General features: G+C 36.6%; 1 protein-coding gene and 1 long non-coding RNA gene across 7 annotated transcripts in view, besides 1 other annotated feature; one reads left to right on the top strand and one right to left on the bottom strand.

Moving 5' to 3' along the window:
• LINC01919 (long intergenic non-protein coding RNA 1919) overlaps window positions 1-1,293 on the bottom strand; it is a 29,405-nt gene extending 28,112 nt beyond the window's left edge. The window contains exon 1 of the long non-coding RNA NR_110798.1: window positions 1,190-1,293. This is a non-coding gene — a long non-coding RNA (long intergenic non-protein coding RNA 1919). The remainder of the gene's footprint in view (window positions 1-1,189) is intronic.
• The window catches only part of LOC124904304 (uncharacterized), a 266,099-nt gene that overhangs the window by 177,194 nt on the left and 67,993 nt on the right, over window positions 1-20,912 (top strand). For 3 of the 6 annotated variants that reach the window (XM_047437986.1, XM_047437987.1, XM_047437985.1), the window contains exon 1: window positions 1,139-1,576. The exons of 1 other annotated variant lie outside the window; for it this stretch is intronic. In XM_047437986.1, coding sequence (XP_047293942.1) covers window positions 1,346-1,576 — 231 coding nt within the window. In that variant the 5' untranslated portion in view covers window positions 1,139-1,345. Of the gene's footprint in view, window positions 1-1,138; window positions 1,577-5,579; window positions 5,702-14,264; window positions 14,513-20,912 lie in introns of those variants that run through there. 2 more of the 6 variants (XR_007066373.1, XR_007066374.1) reach the window with 2 other exon arrangements.
• Window positions 2,249-3,105: an enhancer, noted in NCBI's record as "OCT4-NANOG hESC enhancer chr18:51093005-51093861 (GRCh37/hg19 assembly coordinates)". NCBI's record gives its function as "activates a minimal SCP1, AML or CMV promoter by ChIP-STARR-seq in naive H9 embryonic stem cells {active_cell/tissue: H9 hESC(naive)}" and the evidence as "EXISTENCE:reporter gene assay evidence [ECO:0000049][PMID:30033119]".

The raw sequence follows: 20,912 nt of genomic DNA, 5'->3' as shown, positions 1-20,912 counted from the left end.
CTTTCGTTGAAGGCTGTGTCTTCACTGCCTACAACAGAGGTTTCCAAACTTTTCCAGATTAGCTATTCATTTTCAAATTTTACTCATGTATTTTATGTACCAATATTTATGACTACCCTGAAATGTTATGTTTGCAATGATAAACTGCAAAATCTATGTAAATTTATACACAATGACTATCAGAGCTTCTGATAGTTATTCCAAAAATACTCATAATAGTAAAGCTCAATTGTTAGAAACATTAAAACCATATGCAAATTGCTGAATAAAAGACATGTTAGCCTCAGTTACATTATGTATAATATGAGGACATCCTGACTCATGGCAACACTGCAAATATTAAATGACTCAGCATCATCTTTGTCATTAGTTATTATAAGCATTAATTATTAATATTGTCATTATCGTTTCACATTCAATTGAGCTGATATAATTCTATGCCAGAGCAGAAAAAATTTAGTTTATCTGACAGAGGCTTCTTGTTGGTAACTGCTCAGTTTCTATTCTGCTTTTTCAAATAATGAAAGAGGTTCACTAGCCCATGTTAGCATTTTTGTATATTACTACTTATCTCCATACACCAGCTTGGAAATCACTTGCTAAATTAAGGAAATAAGGAAATCTTAAGATCTACTTTTAAATTGATGATTTATAGGGTTATATCAGAATACTCCTCTTTTTATTACTCCATTTAAATCAAATATAATATGCTTTTAAAGCAGAAATAAAACATATTCAATAAAAAACCTTGAATAATAGTGATATTATTTAGGTTGTGATTCAAGTTATAGGTAATTCACATAGATCTCCAGAATCATTTTTCTGCCTCATAATGGATATATAAAGTTATATGCATAAAATATGAGTAAGTTAATGCATCTGATATGGAAGTGGTGTGCTTGGTGTCCCACCAGAATATTTGTGAATAATTTTAAAAGATATTTCATTTTCAAAGCCTCCTGTTAACTGGAGGAAAGGAGAGGGGCTTCAACTGCAAATAGAGGGACTTAAATTAGTTATGAAGTCAAATGCCCAGATGAGAGGATGATTTAACACGGAAATGGGATTTTTGAGGAACCATGTTTTCCAGAGCCTTTACATAATGCTATTCCAGAGGCTAGAGATTTGTATATTCATTCTCCACTCTCAGATCCACCCTTTGGAGTCCTCCAAATACTAACGTATTTACCGGCATTGTGGATGTCATCGCCATATTCTTTCCAATAATTTCGTATCAAGCCATGATTCAAACCTCTGGTTTATTTCACTGCAAGTGGACCTTGCTTGAGAGCCATTAGAACGCATTTTTGGAACGGTTTATTATGGCTAGTGTTCCATTACTGGAATGCTAAACACAAGGGAGTTATTTATATCCTACTGCTCAAGGTCATCGCCAAGGTCTAATTGCAAAAATTCAAAAAATTGCAACCTCAGGCATAAATGGATTAAGGGAAAAGCCCGACAATTACACCGACTAGCCAACATCATAGGACTCCTGCAATCCAGGCCATCGCAGGCCAAGGTTTTTGAAGGAAGCCCTCAAAGAAAGGAAGACCCTTTTATTATCTGGATTCATGTGAGTTTGCCATTTTGCCATCTGGTGGTTTTCTGCTGTAATTACAACCATTTACCAGTTGACAGGGAAACAATTTCACCACAGACTTAATGAGACGAAGTCTTGTGATTTTGAGAAAAGGGAGGCAGCCATATATAATTATTCCAAGAGACATAATAAGAACGCCCAAAGAGAATTCTGATGTCTGTGGCATATGCTTATGATTGCAGTGATCCTAAAGGAAATCTAAAAGACTGAAGCTGACAGATACTACCATATGCTATAGTTTGAATGTATACCCCAGATCTCATGTGTTGAAAACTTAATCCCCAAATTCATACATTGATAGTATTTGGAGGTAGGGCCTTTGGGAGGTAATTAGGATTAGATAAGGTCATCAAGGTGGGGCTCCCATGGTGGGACTGATGGCTTTATAAGAAGAGGAGGAGGGAGCTGAGATGGCATACTCTTGCCCTTTCACCTTATGATCCCCTCTGCCATGTTATGATGCAACAAGAGGGCCTTCTTTAAATGCCAGCACCATGCGCTGGGACTTCTCAGCCTCTGCAACCATGAACTAAATACACTTAATTTTTCAAAAAAATAAATTGCTGTTTGTGGTGTTATGTTACAGCAACAGAAAACAGACTAAAACACCATATTACCGGATGCCACATAGATATTGCTTTCTGATGGTGTGTGTGTGTGTCTCTGGATGTGCAATGGATATCTTTGCATCAAGAAAACAGCTTGAGAAAGTGTTCTGACCTACTCTAGGAGAAAACCAAATAATAAGCATAATAAAAAATACCTCTTTATAAATACAAACATGCATAATTATGTCAAAATGCTTTCTACCTTAGTTGTAACTCTGAGATATCTAGTAAGACATCTATTTCTCAGCAGGGGCTCCCCAAAAGCCTAAGTCATAGTTAAAAGGGAAACTTAGCTAACCTGGACCCACACTTTAAAAATTCATAAGTTAAGTGATCTTTTGTTTCACCTTAATTTTTTATGATTGTTTTTGTTTTACCTCATTTTCAAGTTATTGCAGTATAACATCACAAAGAGAGTCTAGACATTTTACCTTTAGTCATTAGAAATCCCCATTATCTCCTGGTATCTTATGATTTTAAATTTCTGTTCATGGGACCTAATGACTATAAACAGAGTGAAAAATGCAGCTTTGAAGTCTGGAATTCCTCTGGGCTTTTTAGAAATGATTCCTTCTTTTAACCTGTGAAGAATCCCTCATTAACAGATCCATCCTGCAATATTTGAAAGGAACTTATAATATACCACCTACAGTGCCTTAAATTGCACCATTAGCAATTCAAAACATCTAGTTTGCCTGGGAGTGGGTAATGTGAGAGAGAGAGAGAGAGTGTCTGTGTGTGTGTGTGTGTGTGTGTGTGTTTGTGTGTGTGGAGTAAGGACACATTACAGAGAAACTTAATAATTTGTTCTGAAAATGACTGGTCGTGACTATAGAATGCCTGGGTAAACCCACGATCATGGATGGTGACCTCCCACTGTAGGCTTAAGTATTAATATCTATATAGGCTAGTATCAATTTTTATGTCTAAAAATTACTTTGTGTCTGAATTACATTTCTTTTCTCTTTTTTCTTTTTTGTTTTCTGAGCCAGAGCCTTGCTCTGTGGTCCAGGCTAGAATGCAGTGGCTCAATCTTGGCTCACTGCAAACTCCACCTTCCTGGTTCAAGTGATTCTCGTGCCTCAGCCTCCCAAGTAGGTGGGATTACAGGCCTGAACCACCATGCCAAGCTAATTTTTGTGTTTTTAGTAGACCTAGGGTTTCATCATGTTGTCCAGGCTGGTCTCGATCTCCTGACCTCAAGCAATCCTCCCGCTTCAGCCTCTCAAAATGTTGGGATTACAGACATGAGCCACCGCACCCAACCACTGAATTACATTTTTGTTTATGTTTTGTTCAAAGAATTATGTGTGTTCATTTGCTCAAGAGAAGTATTTTAATAGGAACAGTTGAAGAATGTGTGTGCTGGATGATGCCAGAAGTGTTTGTCTTCGACATTATCCATGGCCTGGAGAATCTTGAGAAGCGCTGATTTAGTCAGTTCTTCCAGCTTTCATCCTGCTGACTCCAGAGATACTTGTTTTCTTTTCTAGGCCAGTGGTTGTAGCCCACAAAGACAAATGTTGTTAGGAACTGAATGCATCAGAATCTGCCGCACATTTCACTCAGGAATTGGTGATCTTCTCTTTTTCCTTCTTTTCTCCAACAGTTGCTTATATTCCAAGATTTTTTTTATTTTATTTTGTTGTGCTATAGGGACTTGTATAATATTGTCTGCTCACTACTTCTTCCACCTTCTGAAACCAGCAGAGCATTTTTTGGGAAAATACTCCAGTGTCTTACCTCCTAACTCTAATCCAACCATGGTGAACACAATGCTGGGTGCCATGCTCTTATAGCCTCCATATTAGACCATAGTTGATGGTGCAAGGATAAGCACCTGACACACGGAGGACCTATCATAGCTGATGCTTGGAATGTTTGAGCTTAGGCATCTAGAGATAATACAAATCAATCCCTCTCTGACAATGGGTGGGAAGTCATGTTTGAGAGCTGGCAGCCATTGTATTTTCCAGCACATTAACGAAGCCAGTTTGCCACAGGAGAGTATGAGGTTGACCTTTCCAGAAAGTAGAAATAATTTTGCAGCGTTTCAATCCTAGATTCTGTTTGATCCTGAGGTAACTTACCTTTCAGCTGTTACAAAAGATAACTGTAATTTATTGTATATGTCCCTTAAATATATTTTTCATTTTTGGATAACTTTGTACAGTTTGAGTTGATGTCAGTGGACATGCAGAATGTTTCTGCTCTGGCAATTTTTTTCCACACATGTACATTGTAGAAAAGCCTTGGCAAGTCCATAGCTTCTGACATGGACCTGTGGTTCCCTTGTTTTCTCCTTAGAGGGCTAAAGAAGACATTTAAAAAATGGAGTAAATAGGCCAGGCATGGTGGCTCATGCCTGCAATCCCATCACTTTGGGATGCCAAATCAGGTGGATTACCTGAAGTCATGAGTTTGAGACCAGCCTGCACAACATGGTGAAACCTCGTCTCCACTAAAAATACAAAAATTAGCCAGGCATGGTGGCATGTGCCTGTAATCCCAGCTACTCGGGAGACTGAGGCAGGAGAATTGCTTGGACTCGGGAGGCAGAGGTTGCATTTAACTAAGATAGCACCATTGCACTCCAGTCTGGGCAACAAGAGTGAGACTCCATCTCAAAAATTAATAAATAAATAATAAATGGAGTAAGTGAAAGTAATAAAGGAAGTGGTCATATAAAAGCAGTTTTGAGAAGGACTTTGGACAGGGCTAGTTCTTGCTTGACTTCTCAAAGCCCAAGTGTGCTGGGATAATGGGTCCTAATGTCCCTACAAAGTCTCTTGTTCAAATCTACTTGAAAATACAGCTTATTTCTCAGAGTGATTGCATGTATTCATTAGATTTAATTATTGAAAGTTCTTTTCTATTTGCAAAGTAGTTTTAAGCATAAGCCTTACTAAGATTTGGCTTCTTATCTGATAGAAATCTCACCCAGCTCAGAGGGATTCAGGACAAGTCCTTATATTTGATATCTACAGTGAAATCAAAATGTAATCCACAGTGAACTTGTGCAAGTTTTTTATTTGCCTGTATTAAAAGTAAATTGTACCCAAATTATTCACTTTAACATTTGCTACCGAATATGGTGATTTCATTGTTGTTAATGATGACTTAATACCTTTCTAGGGAAAGGTTGCATTAGGTGAAAGGAGTAGTTGACCCCATCAGTGTGAACAATTCAGTTGGTGGCAGTATATTCTCTAATTAGGAAAAATGCTAGAAAGACTTCCTAAGAGTCCTGTGCAATGGGGGAGTTGACCATCTCTATGAAATTGTAAGAAAATCTCATTATAGAGACCATTGTAGAAGCAAATGGATCAGGTGAAGCAAATGCATTTAAAACATTTTTCTTCACTCAGTGGAGATTGCTCCAAGCTTATGATTTTCACCAGCTGCTTTACCACTTCCTCCAAAAGTCTCTGCAGAGAGTCCTGGGCTCAGAAAAAGCCGACAGACCTTAACGTCAACAGAGCTTTTCACAGTAAGAGTCTTTCCCCACTCTTCTAATAGTTTGAATCTGTTTCTCCCCTGAAATCCCTTATTTCTGTAACTGTCATGTCTTTCTCAGTGCCATTAGTCGTAACTCTACTAATTTTTAGTTCACTGCTGCTAGATCGGTTCCCATACAGATTTAAGTATATTTAAATATAGCTGCATCGGAAGGGTGTCATGTCATACATTAGTCAACTGAACCACTCTATCAACACCACCACCTTGAAATAAAGAGAAATTTGATTCAAGTGCATACCTGCTACATCTACATTTATCATTCAAACGGGGAGAATTTTGAGAGTAGAAGTGAATACTATTTATCATTCTACTGAATCAATAGGTGAAAATTAAACATTTTTCAGAAAGTCAGGAGTGAAAATTCAGAAAAGACATAGAGTTTCTTAAATTTAGGGATTAGGATTCTATTCACACTTCTATTGGATAGGGTGGTGTGTCCACCCACCCAGCTCCCATTTATTTCTCTGAAAACTACCTTTGGTTTTGGAAAGTCTTGTGTCATGACCCCTGCTATGTAGGAAGGTGGCCAAAGACTCCACCTTTCTGGGAAAAACTAGAATTTGAGTTGAGCCAAAGTAGTGGTAGACCCAGAACAAGATTAGCCAATCAAATGGTTTATTTACCAAGCAATTTAAAATTGGGATTCAAAAACACTGGTTAGTCTGTCGGTATTTTAAACTGAAAGATCACATAAGCAAGGCATTGATAATCACGTGAACGTAGACCCAGGGAAATTGCTTTGCAGAAGAAGAAAATCATGAAGAAGACATGTAGAGTGAGGCAGAGTGATAATTCCATGTGTTTCAGAGAAAGTGGAGACAGGGATTGGCTGTGCCTCTGCTTTTTTCCGGTTCTGGGTTCCATGATATATCTGGGACCACAATGCACTTGAATATTCTTAAAATGAAGTCTCCCTTTTATGTAAGATGGTTTAAGTACATCTCTTTTGCTTGCAACCCAATATTTCCTAACAAAGGTATATATTAGTTTAAGAAGCTCTTTTCCTGTATATCCCCTATTAATTCCAACAACGTGGGCTAAGCCTTGGTCTTTGCAATGAATGTCAATATGAGAAAATTATAATTACTTATTGAAAGTAAATATGCTTTAATTTCCTTATGGAATCTAAGGGCCAATTAAAATATGCCTTATATTTGAATTGACATATAATTAGACTTGATGGGAGAAATGGTATTAGGAATCTAATTTTCCGGTTATTCCTCCTTGCTTCAGAGTTTAGCTGGTGTTTGCCTTCAACAACAGGAAATACTTATGAGGTAGGAAGGCTATGGCATATTCTCCCTAGTTCTTTTGCTCTTATTATTTTTTATTTTTTCAAACCCAAATGGGCTGCTCCAACTTTATCAAATTCCTTTAAGGTTCTGAACATATGCTAACTTTCTTTTTTCTTTTTTTTTTTTTTTTGAGACGGAGTCTCGCTCTGTCGCCCAGGCTGGAGTGCAGTGGCGCGATCTCGGCTCACTGCAAGCTCCGCCTCCCGGGTTCATGCCATTCTCCTGCCTCAGCCTCCCGAGTAGCTGGGACTACAGGCGCCCGCTACCACGCCCGGCTAATTTTTTGTATTTTTAGTAGAGACGGGGTTTCACCGTGTTAGCCAGGATGGTCTCGATCTCCTGACCTCGTGATCCGCCCGCCTCGGCCTCCCAAAGTGCTGGGATTACAGGCGTGAGCCACCGCGCCCGGCCCATATGCTAACTTTCAAGGAGCTTCAGATATGGTAGAGTTTGGCTCTGTCCCCACCCAAATCTCATCTAGAATTGTAGCTTCCATAATTGCCATGTGTTGAGGGAGGGCCCTGATGGGAGATTATTGAATCATGAGGGTGGTTTCCCCCTATACTGTTCTCATGGTAGTAAATAAGTTTCATGAGATCTGATGATTTTATAAGGGGTTTTCCCTTTTGCTTGGCTCTTATTCTCTCTTGTCTGCCACCGTGTAAGATACGCTTTTCACCTTCCACCATGATTGTGAGGCCTCTCCAGCTATGTGGAACTGTGGGTCCATTAAGACTCACATGGGTCAAATGGTAGTTCAACGCTTTTCCTTTATAAATTACCCAGTCTCAGGTATGTCTTTATCAGCAGCGTGAAAACAGACTAATACAAGGTGCAAAATTCTAACATACCAAGTTCTGAAGATTCAAGTAAAAGAAAAAAAAAATGGGAGTGAAAAAGCCCACTTATCACATTCTATAGGAGGAGTGAAAACTGTACACATGAAGCATGAAGGAAAGCACACCTGTTTACATAGCATAGATCAGCAGTATTAAAGGGACAATCTGGATCCAGAGATGATTTCAAAGGGAATAAGTGAGTTTTATCTCATAGAAGCATTACAACACATTCTCATTTCCATGGAGATTTGTCTTGCTACAGTCAAAAGGAAAACAGAAAGAAAATCTGCCATGGTAATTTAGCGATGAAAAATTAACAACTGCTTTGTTGTTTAATGATTACTCTTACCTTCTGATATCTAACTGATAATTAAATAAATTAGAATTATTTGTAAATATTAGAAGTGACCTTGCTATAGAAGGCTAGAATGCCAATGTCTATTGCTAAGCTGATTTTTTCTTAGTTTACAGTTATAAACTATACTGCACACTTATTAACTGATATACTGAGACTATCAAAGGGCATTGAATAACTGAATCTGAGATCACAGGTTGATATTTTGGTCAAATCATGACAACCCTGTAGTTAAAAGGTTTATATATCATGTTGATGCCTCCAGAAGCATTAGCTGGCCTTATCTTTGGTAACAAAAAGAGGCTTCATTAATCTTCATGAGGCCATATTTTCCCATATTTAGAGGAACATATTAGTATGCAAAACTTGGAAATATGATATTTCATAAACAGCTATTTAACATATTGCAGCTAATCAATCATATCTAAGATTTTTTTCAATACATGCTAAATGGTTGTTTTATAAAGTGCAGGCCTTATGTAGTGCAATGGTGTTGAAGAACTGGACCAACCTTAAGTTGGATATTTAAATGTGGATTTTCAAAAAGGATGTTGTATCATTCAGGGTTCAGCCAGAGGAACAGAATCAATAGAAGATATATATTAAGAGATTTGTTACAAGTAATTGGCTTATATTATTGTAGGGGCTGGCCAGGCAAGTTGGAAATCTGTAGGTCAGAACATCAGGAAGAGCGAGCTGGAATTCTCAGGCAGGGACTGGAGCTGCTGTCCCCAGGCAGAATTTTCTTCCCTTCAGGGAAGTCTCACCTCTGATTTAAAACCTTTGAACTGCCGTTATCAGCCCTACCCTTACTTAAAGTTCAACTGTTTATAGACTTTAATTACACCTACAAACTACCTTCATAGCAACACCTAGATTAATGCTTGGTTGAATGATTGAAAACTGTAGTTTAGCCTGGTTAGTAGATCAAAAAAGAAAATCACAGATGTCTAGATAGTGCACTAACACACAAAGTGAACCTCAGGTGTAATCTCATGTTTCTTAGTGTTGAAGTAAATTAAAATGGAGACCAGGCCTGAAGAATCCCTGAGCAGACAAAACCAGTTAGCCCTCATAAGTGACCTCAAACTCGCGTAAGTTGCAAACATTTGTGAAACTTAACTTGGGTCATTTCTGGTAATGCTTGTGTTAGACAGAAATAAAACTTAGTCCCAGCCAATCATAAGCAGTCAACCAACATACAATGATGTGATCTGGGGCTTTTCAACAAGGTACCTAAAACTAGGCAAAGCAATCAAATAATTCCTTGTTTTGTTTCTGTATTTTTCTTTTTTTTAAAGCCATTATTTTAGAATCAGGGGTACATTTGCAGGTTTTTTACGAAGGTATATTGTGTGATGCTAAGGTTTAGAGTACAAATGAAACCATTACTCAAGTAATGAGCATAGTATCCAATAAGTACTTTTTCAGCCCTTGCCTCCCGCCCTCTTTTCCCCCTCTAGTAGTCCCCAGTATCTATTGTTCCCATGTTTATATCCACATCTACCAAATGTTTAGCTCTCACTTATGAGTGAGAACATGCAGTCTTTGGTTTTCTTCTCCCATGTTAGTTCACCTAGGATAATGGCCTTCAGCTTCATCCATGTTGCTGCAAAGGGCATGATTTCTTTCTTTTTTATGGCTGCATACTATTCCATGATTTATATGTACCACATTTTCTTTATCCATATCACTGTTGATGGGCACACCTGGGTTGATTCCATGTTTTTGTTACTGTGAATAGCCCAATGATGAACATACAGTTGCATATGTCTTTTGGTAGAACAATTAATTTTCCTTTGGGTATTTACCCAGCAATGGGATTCCTGGGTCAAATGGTAGTTCAACTCTTCAGTTTCTTGAGAAATCTCCAAATGTCTCTCCACAGAGGCTGAACTAATTTACATTACCACTAACAGTGTATAAGTGTTTCTTTTTCTCTGCAGGCTTGCCAACATGTTATTTTTTGACTTCTTAACAAAGCTATTCTGATTGGTGAGATGGTATCTCATTGTAGTTTTCATTTGCATTTCTCTGATGATTAGTGGTGTTGGCATTTTTTCATATGTTTCTTGGCCACTTGTATGTCTTTTGAGAAGTGTCTGTTCATGCCCTTTGCTCATTTTTTAATAGAGTTGTTTGGTTTTTTTGCTGGTTAATTTGTTAAGTTCCTTATAGATTCTAAGTACTAAACCTTCATTGGATGCATAGTTTATAAATATTTTCTCCCATTCTGTAGGTTGTCTATTTACTCTGTTGATAGTTTCTTTTGTTGTGCGGAAACTCTTTAGTTTAAATGGGTTCCACTTGTCAATTTTTGTGTTTATCACAATTGCTTTCAAGGACTTAGTGAAGGCCAATATCAAGATGGGTATTTCCTAGGTTTTCTTATAGGATTTTTATAGTTTGAGATCTTACATTTAAGTCTTTAATGAATCTTGAGTCAATTGCCAGCATCATTTATTGAGTAAGGAATCTTTTCCTCATTGCTTATTTTATCAACTTTGTTGAAGATCAGATGATTGTAGGTGTGTAAACTTTTTTTCAGGTCTCTCTATTCTGTTCCATTGGTCTGTGTATCCAACAGCAGTACCACACAGTTTTGTCATCGAAAAAATAAACCTCTTTAAGTTTGGTTCATTCTTCATAATTCTCCAATTAATTAATTGTTGTTTACTCAAATACACACTAAATGTTTATTGTGCCCCAGATTTTTCTTTAACATTAGTGACTGGTTAATTCCTTCATGAATCAAATGCATGCCAATTCCAAGAGATCAAGTTGAAAGAGACACCCTTTTTGTTTTGCAAATCATGGGATTTATGAAAAAGATGAAGCATGGGTGATGGAGAGAACATTCTCAAAGAAGCATAATCTCCAATTTGAGAATAAACATTTCCGTTTTGCTTTGAGTTGGAAAAAAAAAAACCTCTCTTTTTCATCTTAGCATTACTCTAACAACAGGTGACTGTTATCCTGCACAAATGTTTTATTTCATTGACATTGTCTCTAAATGATGATTCAGTGGCAAACCTGAGCATGAGTTCTGAACTACTACTTCTCTTTCTGTGTTTCACAGACCTTAGAAATTTTATTGGAGGATGTCAACCGGGATTAATGAAAGTATTTTCTATTATATCATATTTAAACACATAGATGACGGGAGAGTAAACTAACTCATAATAAATAGCATGTGTTAATGCTTTCATCTGAATTTAAAATGGTGGTTTTCTAATAAATTTATCATGGGTTAGTATTCTATTGGTCAAAATGGGTTATTATACTTTATTTAGAAATGATGGCATTTCTCCCTGGTGGTAATGGTTCTTTCCATTTCAGACATTCACATAGCCAATGGATGCGATTTTGTGTGTGTTATTTGGATCAGCAGATAAAGATGACAACAAGCTATGCTTGTTGTTGTCTTCTAAAATCTGACGGACTGACATATTGAATATTGTTCAGGTCTGGTAACTCTGTAGTAGTTTATCATCTATTTCTTTTATGTGTATTTTTCTAATGGCTTAAAATGTCAGATTTTTATATTCATTTGTGTTAATGGTTTGACAACCTGTACAATCCATGTCATTTATTTCCTAGTTTAGAACAAATATTTGTATTACGTGTTGTAAATGTCCAGTGCCTCTGCATGTCTGGAAGTGGCATCAAATTCCTTTTTTCTTTGTTTTTGTTTTTTCTCATTTTTTTCATTCCATATTACAACAATGAAACTAACAATCTCAAAAAAGTATTAGTTACCATTACTGAGTGCCTATTATTTGCCACTAATCCTGCTAGGAACTTTACAATTAATCTCTTCTTATCCTTTACAAACATTCTTGTATAGTTTTATTTTTCATTTTATAGATAAGGAAAGTAAGAGTTAACTAAGTTAAATACCTGGCTTAAGATCGCACAGCTTCTTCACATTTGAGCTGCTAGTTCAGCTTGTATCTCTCTGTTTCCAAACATAAATTCTTCTCTACCATTTCATCTATCGTTAATTTATTATTTGACAATATACACAACTGTAGATACCAAGGGAATGGTGATTTTCAAAAGATGAAATCTTAAGTCAACTTTTTCAGGTAGATAACTGCCTCCAGAAACTCTCTCCTTTAGAAACGGACTCCATACAACTTATAGGGAAATATCAAAAACAGTCAGTCACCATGAACCTCTTTAATTCTTACTATGGTTTGAGATTTAGAATTCTTGGGGGTATGGAGGATTTAATTTAAATAATATAAAACTTACTTTTATATTTACATGTATTTAAAATCATGATGTCTAAGCAAATTAATTATACAATTAGGATCGTAGGGCAAATGTTTAGCCCATGTTGTAGGACTGGCTGATTTAAAGCACTTTAGAAGTGCCATTAACATAAAAAATTGCTGTGCTTCTTTGAAAGAGATCTACTTATTATCTATTCATTAAAGCTGATCAAAGAATTTTGCTTGATAATGATTTGTTAGCCTTCTTCAAGTTTCTATATTTACTGAAAAGTCATTAACCTGCACTCTTTAAGCATATCATATAACGGCTTTGGTTCCATACTAATCATGATTGTTCTCTCCAAGTGGTCCTCAGCAGTGAAGTTTTTCTATATATAGAATATGCTTAGATCATATGTGGTGGGTTGTTTTTTTTTCTCACAAAATCTTAGATATCTAGACAGAAATAAAGTGTCGGACTGCATTCAGAAATGACCATTGGACAGATATTTTGATGAATTTTGCTCAGTAGTATCAGGATTTATGGTTGTAATGGCCCCTGGAGCCATGGGACTACATAAAGACATCATACTCCAATTCATGGTTATTATTTTGGGTTATTGTATTTACCCTCATGAAACCAAGAACCACAAACCACATGAGAGGTTTATAGTGTGACAGACAGCTCACGCCCATCCCATCTCAAAAGTCTGCATTAATATTTTCAAAAGACTTAGTACATAAGAACTCTCTTATTTCAGCCCAATTTTTTGTAAATCTGTTTCCAAATCCTGTCCTCTTGCCACTCCAAAATAGGAGTGTTCATATCACATTACATCACATGGTAGAGAGAAGGGCAGAGGCAGAAAGAGAATGTTATTAGAAAAGAGTAATGAGAAAACATCCCCATAAATTAGGTAACATTGATTCTCAGAAGACACATTCTCTTCCTTATAATCTCTGAGAATCTAGCTATAGTCAAGGAAGGATATGTCAATTTGAAAGGCATGGCCTAGGGCCTTCTCCATGGCCAGAGACACTCAAATTATATAAATTCTATGTATTGTGAACAGATGAAAATCATTTACACACAATAGGGTAGGGGGCATAGCCCAGCTTAACAGGTAGGAAAACACAAAGCTGGATGGCACTGCTTAATACAAGTTGACAGGGGTCTGAAACAGTGCCTCATCTGAAGGACATGGAGAGAAACATTTTTAACCAGATGATTTTTAACATCAGGAAAGGATTGAGGCTGCAAGAGCCACATGACTTTTTTTCTGATGAATTAAACTTGCTTTTTCCTTCCAAACCAGTGAGTGTGTACAGATACTTCCAGAAGTACCTGAGTGTTCATTGTACTCATATGTGTTCTGCGGACATGAAGTCTATAATAATATTATGCTTTGAGCTACACTACCATGCAATGGAAGAGAAATTGCTATCTTGCCCTATGGCTTCTGTGCTTTCTGCTAACTGCCACTTTCACTGAGTATCTCAACTTAATTTCCTAAGTAAATAGCATTAAACTTGTCACTGCTAATTTTCTCTCAACATCTATTAAATATCCACATTGTGGATTTGTTTTTGACAGGAAAATTTAGGCTGGTTCCGTTTTATGTTTCAGAAATATGTCAAGGGAAGATTAGCTCAGAGACAATACCTGTCATGAGCCACAAAGAAGACAGATGAGTGTGTACATGAGTGTGTACAAACTTAGCTATACAGTTTCTTTAAAAAATTAAATCTGATTACCTGTCTATAAGTGCAAACTATTTTGATTAAATTCTATAAAACAGCAAAAAAGAATTTTAGTCAGTGTGCCAATGTTTTCTTTCAGAAATCACATCAACCAACTGGTTTTCTGCCATTTGTAATTGTAATACTAATTCTGCCACTATGCATGTTGAGAGAGGTGACAGTAACATTTTCTTCTTATTTTTAGGAAGCAGTTGTTCTTTTAGGGACAGGTCCTTCAATTCCTCTATGAAAAATCACAAAGGCTCACATAATACCAAAATTTGAATAAAATTCCAGAGCATCATGAACACATTTCTACCTCTCCACAATCCAAATGTAAGCATCTAGAGCATGGATTTTTGACCTTGTCCTAAAATTGTATAGTTCTTGAGACTTGTGATATCATATTAATCAATTTTGCATTATTCACAGAGTCTGATTCAATGCCTTGAAATAAGCTGGTTCTTAAATATCTGTAGAATTGATTAGCATAGAAATAAAGTAGGATCATTTTTACATTTACATTGTTAAGACCAATTATTTTTTTAAAAAGATATTTTAATATCTGCTCTGAAACAGAATAGAATCCAGAAATTGAAATCAACTCACACATACATGGTAGACTTATTTTTAATAAAGTTACACAGGTGATTTAGGAAGGAGAGTATATCTTTTTAACAAATGGTGCTGTAAGAATTGGCTATTCATATGGGAAAAAAGTGAACCATGGCCATAACTAACATCACACATAAAAATTAACCTTAAATGGAGCATAGAACTAAACATAGATGCAAACACTATAAAACTTCTAGAAGAAAACATAGTCAAAAATAGTTGTGGCATTGGAGTAGAAATTTTTTTAGGGCACAAAATTCATAAACAATAATGAAAATCATTGATAAATTAAACTTATCAAAATAAAAAACTTTCATCCTTAAAATACACAAATAATAAATGAAAATTCAAGCCACAGATTGGGAACAATTATTTCACTGTATCTGAAAAAGTGCTTGTATCCAGAATTTATAAAGAACTCTCACAGCTTAATAAAAAAATGACAAACCACCCAGTTAAGTAAATGAGTCAAAGATTGAACAGGAATCTCACAAAAGAAGATATACAAATGTCACATAAAAGATTTAACGACTAAGGAATGAAAATTAAAACAATGGAATACCATTACATTCCCCATAGAATGGCTAAAATGAAGGAGACTGATGATATCAATTATTAGGATGTTGATCAACTGGAACTCTCATACACTGCTAGTGGGAGCACAAAATGGTGCAATCATTGAGAAACAGTTTAGTCATTTCTTCTAAGGTTAAACATATGTTTATCATGTCACCTGCATGATTCTGTGTTCCTACTTATTTCCCATGAGAAATGAAAACATATGTCCATTTAAAAATTTGTGTTCAAATTTTTATAGCAGCTTTATTCATAAAAGCCCAGACTGGAAGAGTTTAAATGTCCATCAACAGGTGAAAGGATAACAACAAAAATAATTGTGTGTTTGTTTTGAGATGGAGTCTCGCTCTGTTGCTCAGGCTGGAGTGCAGTGGCATGATCACAGCTCACTGCAACCTCCGTCTTCCGGGTTCAAGCAATTCTCCTGCCTCAGCCTCCCAAGTAGCTAGGACTACAGGCACGCACCACCACACCCAGCTAATTTTTGTATTTTTAGTAGAGGCAGATTTTTGCCATGTTGGCCAGCCTGGTCTCAAACTCCTGACCTCAAGTGATCTACCCATCTCAGCCTCCCAAAGTGCTGGGATTACAGGTGTGAGCCACTGTGGCCAACCTCAATAATGTGCATTTTTAATGACATATTTTGATAATATATCGTAGTATTATTCAGCAATAAAAAAGGAACAGACTACTGACATACACATCAACAAGGATGCATCTCAAATCATTTTGAATGAAAGAAGCTAGACACAAATAAGCACAAACTGTGTGATTCCACTTATGTGAAATTCTACAGTAGACCTAATGACAGAACACAGCCAAGAGTTGTCTGGAGCTGGGTATGTGTGTGTTGGCAGAGGCGGAGAGGGGATATAGACTGGGAAGGGACAAAGGGGAGCTCTTTAGGCTCTAATATTTTATATCTTGAGTGTTATGGTTATATGGTGCAGATATTTGTCAAAATTCATTGCACTTATAACTGCTGCATTTTATTTTATGCAATTATATTAGTTTCCGGGGGCTACCATAACAAAGTACCACAATCTGGGTGGCTTAAAACAACATAAATTTATTCTCTTACAGTTCTCTAGGCAAAGAGTATGAAATCAAAGTGTCAGCAGGGCCATGCTCCCTCTGCAGGCTCTAGGGAAGAAGCCTTCCTTGCCTCTTCCTAGCTTCTGGTGTTCCTGGGGGATTCTTGGCTTGTGCCAGTGTAACTGGTATGCCTCTGTCTTCACATCGCCTTTTCCTCTCTGTATCTCTTTGTCCAAATTTAAATTTCTGTATTCTTGTAGAGACACCAGCCATTAGATTAGGGGCCATCTCATTTTAATTTGATTATAACTGCAAAGACCTTATTTCTAAATAACGGTATAGTCTGAAATTCTGGGTAGACATGAATTTTGGGGAACACTGTTTAAACTAGTAGAGCAATTCATCTCATCAAAGCTGATTTAAAATAAGTGAGAATAAAGATATATCATACCTTCTTGATATCCATTAATACTTTTGAAAAAGTCAATACATATTTTCAAGAAATATCCAGAATTCTAGACACCACCACCTGCATGTGCCAATTTGATGATAAAGGCTTTTTTTTTAAAATTAAGGAATAATTGTCAATGCTCACAGGAAATAATATTTGGAGAATTTTACTTTACATTCAAGGGGTACATGTGCATGTTTGTTACCTGGGTGTATTGTGAAATGTTGGGGATTGCACTTGTAGTATACCCATCACCCAAATATTGAACATTGCACCCAGTAGGTAACTTTCCAACTCTCACACGCCTCCCACCCTTGCCCCATTTGGAGTCCCAGGTATGTATTATTTCCATCTTTATCTCCATGTGTACTTATTGTTTAGCACCTACATATTTGGACTATTGAATTGCTAATCACACTGCCCAATTAAGAGCAATAACTTGAATTTCGTTACTAACAAAAATCATGTTTAGTAATAGCCACAGAATTTCTGAAAGCACAATTGTTTCTTGGGTTCAAACGTGACTTATTACTGCTTGTGAAAGACCATTCTGTCTAGTACCCAGCAGAGTCCTTTGCACCTCTCAACCCTCAGTGCAAAGGCACTCCAAGTCATTTAGAAGCTTAGCAGCCTTTTGCTCGGATGAGGGGACAGCAGGGAGACACAGCCAAGGAAAGGTCAAGTAGGGGCATATGAACAAAGTTAATGGGAAATTTAATAGAGTCCTCTGGTTTCTCGCCCCACTTCCTGGCACTGGCTCTCTGTGTGGGAGTGACCCCATAGAGAAGTTTTGCTCGAGTAATTTGGCGTACATCCACTTAACAGAAGGCACAAGGCCAGAACACAGCGGTTCAAATCCCACAAGGCAGGTTACTTGTGTGATGGGATAAGAGGGAGGCAATAAAGCTGGCCCATCAGAATCGGTCAGCTGCTACAAGAAGGAGGATGGAAGCAGCTTTAATTGCTTCCTTTTGCTTAAATAGGAGATACAAGACAGATTTTCTGTCTGTAATCGCCACACAGAAGAATGGGAAGAAAAACTTAAACATACCAACAATGTGCATAGCATTTTACAGCTTAGAAATTGCTTTATATATTTTTAATTTATTCTTGCAATAAACCTATGAAGTTAGCAGGGCTTATTGGCCACATTTTATGGAGAGAGGAGTTGGGTTAAGTGAATTGTTCAAGGTAGAGAATGAACCATCTGGGATTCAAATTTAGTGCTTCTGGCATACCTATTGCTTTTATTATGGTTATTTCTAAGATCACAATAGTATCCCTACTGACTGATATGTTACCTCACAAAGAGATATTGAAGTGAATAAATGAATTGTCAGCAATGTTCACAATATTTCCATCTTCAACCAAACAGCCTTCTGAGGTAGGACACCCTAGTGAGATAAACCAAGCTTTATTCCTAAATGTCATATTGATGAGGCTCATGTTAGAAGCTTAGCAAATACTTGATAAAAGAATGAACAGACATTACTCAAGTACCCACCTTTTAGAAAAACAAATTTAAAAGATTAAGAGTATATAAACAATGCTATCTCATATGTGTTACCATGGCTTTCCCATTAAGCCACATCCAAAAACAGCCTTGAAAATTTACCAAATTGGTAAATACTAACATGGGTCAGTGTTCCTTTCCTATCCTGTGTGTAAGAAATGCTGTGTTTAACATGGAACTCATCTTACAGGTCTCAGCTTACATATAATACTCTCTGCAAAGCCCGGTTTGACTCTGTAAGTCTGGGCCCAAACTCAGTAAACGGAAGCTTAAAGGCAGTGTCTGTCTCAGGTGATCAAGCAAATAGTGAATAATCAATAAATACTTTCTCACTGAATTCTCAAAGAGATACTAACAAGTGAAACTGCTCATGGGGTTGAAATGATGAGAACAGTTGTCCTAGGTATCCACATGGAATTGGTTCCAGGACCGCTGCAAATACCAAAATTATGAATGCTCAAGTCCTCTATGTAAAATGGTGCAGTATTTGCATATAACCTAGGCACATCCTCCCATATGCTTTAAAATATCTCCAGATTACCTACAACACATAATACGATGTAAATGCTGTGTAAACAGATGTATGCTGTGTTGTTTTTCTATTTGCATTACTTTTATTGTCACTTTTTTTGTTTTGTTTTTGTGTTTTTTAATTTATTTTTCCATAAGTTATTGGGGTACAGGTGGTATTTGGTTACTTGAGTAAGTTCTTTAGTGGCGATTTGTGAGATTTTGGTGCACCCATCGCCCGAGCGGTATACACTGCACCATATTCGTAGTCTTTTATCCCTTGCCTCCCTCTCACTCTTCCTCCCAAGTCCCCAAAGTCCATTGTATCATTCTTATGCCTTTTCATACTCATAGGTTAGCTCCCACATATCAGTGAGAACATACGATGTTTGGTTTTCCGTTCCTGAGGTACATCACTTAGAATAATAGTCTCCAATCTCATCCAGGTCACTGCAAATGCTGTTAATTCATTCCTTTTTATGGCTGCATAGTATTCCGTCTGTCAGAGTTCTATACACACTGGCTGCAGGCATATTCCAATCTTGTCAGAACAGTAAATCTGGGGAGTCTTTTTTGTACCAGTGTCCCTGGTTTGCATATGAGCTTTCTAATGTTGTTGAAGACTGATCGTGTGAACCAATAAATTTCCCATCACTGTCCAAGCTTTGTTTTAATTCCTGAAAACTAAAAGAGATCCCCTTACACTGTTGGAGGCCTTAGATTTCAGCTCAAATCTCTCTGGGTATTCTGGAAGGTTGGTCTAGAAAAGCCCAAGCTCACTTCCATTTTATTTCATTTTATTGCTCTTTAAGTCTCACATTTAAGGATCTTTTTTATTTTTTTTTACCTTCATATTTTAGATTTAAAAATTCTTAGCATAATTCTGGACTAAGGTGCAGTATTTGTCCATGACAGAAAAAGCCAAGATGAAAGAGATTTCAAAAGTATGGAATGAGTCTTCTGCACCATGAACACTTTCATAGATTCAAAAGTAGAAGAATCTGGTGTTCAGGGGCTCTGTTTTTTAGTATCTTAAACTCTGAGGTTCATCTGTGTTCGAAATAATTATCTGAAATAATCTCCCTAATTCACTCCCTCATCAGTGTTAGCATTAAAGTATAAGCTAGAGAAGAAAATAGTATAACTGGGGCATTCTGCATATTCATAGATACATACATTCACATTCGCATTTGTAGCATAGTCTTAGTTACTATACTTTAAATAACACTTATCTGTATTTAATTACATATTTATATAAAAATATATTTGTAAAAAGGATTAATGTAAGATGTTCTCCTCTATGAAAAATCTGGAGATTGTTTCCAGAACACTTTGTTTTTATTCTAGATCTGATTTTATTGCAAGACTTGAAGAAAAACGTTAATTGATAATTTGCTGTCCTCAATAAGTGAATATTAATATTCCCTCAGTGTCCAATGTGCCTCTGTAGATGCAACACAGAGTTGAAGAGAAAGGACAGATGGGGTGATCAGTTGTTTCAAAAAGAATAGAACAACAAAGGAGACTAACGGTGCATATCATTATATCTAATCATATTAATAATAAGAGACAATGCTATTGGCTGTAATTTTTCTCAGGGCAAAGAACTTCTGAGAAAAATTCTCTGATATTCTTAACATTTTGAAATGCAGTGATAGGTAAAGAAGCTTGCAGATCAAATTGGCTCTTTTTGGGTTGTTACTTAAACACATAATTTTAGAGTTTAATACATCCTTTGGGATCAAAAGAGTCATTAAGAAGCCATTTATCTACAAGAAATATCAGCAAGAAAGCACTGAATCCAGATGGTTATAAAGTTTTATTTTAGGAAATATTCAGTGATAAAGTATACCCATTTTTAACTGAGAGTTGCAAATAGGCAGTGCAGCTATTTCATCTTAATTTAGTAAACATTTCCTTCTTGAAACTGAAGCAAGATGTGAATTTCCAAAAATGTGGGAATTTCCTCTAAGATGTGAATTTCCAAAAAGCTCACTTTATACTTTAACATGAATCTAGTAAGCCTCACACAAAAT

Source organism: Homo sapiens, chromosome 18 (genome assembly GCF_000001405.40).
Source record: "Homo sapiens chromosome 18, GRCh38.p14 Primary Assembly".
Classification (NCBI taxonomy): domain Eukaryota; kingdom Metazoa; phylum Chordata; class Mammalia; order Primates; family Hominidae; genus Homo; species Homo sapiens.
The sequence above is the reverse complement of the archived record's forward strand: the minus strand, read 5'-3'. Positions and strand labels throughout refer to the sequence as shown.